The sequence below is a fragment of the Homo sapiens genome, chromosome 7 (assembly GCF_000001405.40).
Source record: "Homo sapiens chromosome 7, GRCh38.p14 Primary Assembly".
In the NCBI taxonomy this organism is placed as follows: domain Eukaryota; kingdom Metazoa; phylum Chordata; class Mammalia; order Primates; family Hominidae; genus Homo; species Homo sapiens.
This window is the reverse complement of record NC_000007.14, coordinates 146,035,589-146,036,770: the sequence shown is the minus strand read 5'-3', so window position 1 is coordinate 146,036,770 and position 1,182 is coordinate 146,035,589. Positions and strand designations below refer to the sequence as shown.

Genomic DNA, 1,182 nt, shown 5'->3' with positions numbered 1-1,182 from the left:
AACTTTTAATTTTGTGTTTATCTGGTGGTTTCTTGTTATTAGATTCAGACTTTTCATTCTCAGCTGGAATATTGTACAGGTTATGTGTCCTTCTTGGACTGTCGCATCTGAAGACACATGATATCTCTATGTCCCTTACTGGTGAAGTTGGCTTTGATCGCTTGTTCAAGGTGCTGCATAATTTACTTTGCTGTGTAATTACTTCTTTTTTCTCCCTGTTACAAATAAGCAGTCAGAAGGGGGAACTTTAAGACAAAGGAAATATGCTGATTTTTAGCAAAAATTCTCCCTAGATCTACCATTTACTGATGATTTCTATCTCACCCAATCCCTGTTATAAGGAAATCAACATAATAATTTTCCCAGTCTACTTGTGCAGAGACACTGACTGGGTGTCCTGCATGATGCTTCAGAAAAGGACCTCTCTTCTCTCCTAATTATGTATTTTATATGTGTGCATGCATGTAGGTACATATTTATTTGTTTACCTATGTTATCTCTATGGACTCATATATTTTAATTTTTTAATGTATTACAATGCATTACTGCACTTTTAAGTATCCCGGATTTGAATAGTGGGAACCCTTATAGGTTTTTCTGGTCTTACAGTTTCTCTCTCTTATTGTGAAGTGCTAGCTACTAACTCTTGTCCCTCAGCCTACAGGCTCTCTTCTACACCAATCTCTTGACTCTGCATCAGAATAATTGTTTTTGTTGTTGTAGCTTTCTAATAACAACTTGATCAGATAACCTCTTCCTTAAAACTGTGTTCTGTGGCATTGAGAGGCTGAGCTAACAGAGGGTCAAGGGTCTCTCCTTGGTTCAACTAGCCAAGTCTTGCTTTTATCTGATTCATGTACTGGTGTACAAGTAAGATTTGTTATTAAATAAGAAAGCATTTGTTTTGGTCTACCATATGTTAGCATGAGATCAGCCCTAACACTTCCATGGGCTTTTGTAGCTTGGCTGTATGAGGGGTACACTATATTTATCCTACCTGGATCACAGAGAGCTTTTGCTGTCATAAAATGAGACAATTCATGTAAAAAAGTGTTGGACATTGTGATTTTTATGCAAAAGTAGAGTATCTTCTTAATGGTGGAGTTATCATCATTACTATCCAGACCTGGAGAAAAACCTCATCAAATTAATGTAAGTAAGAGTCACTTGTAAATTTGTTTG

General features: G+C 36.5%; 1 annotated feature.

The window, feature by feature from the left end:
* Nucleotides 768-968: a silencer, noted in NCBI's record as "peak6823 fragment used in MPRA reporter construct". NCBI's record gives its function as "represses an SCP1 promoter by STARR-seq MPRAs in K562 erythroleukemia cells {active_cell/tissue: K562}" and the evidence as "EXISTENCE:reporter gene assay evidence [ECO:0000049][PMID:32103011]".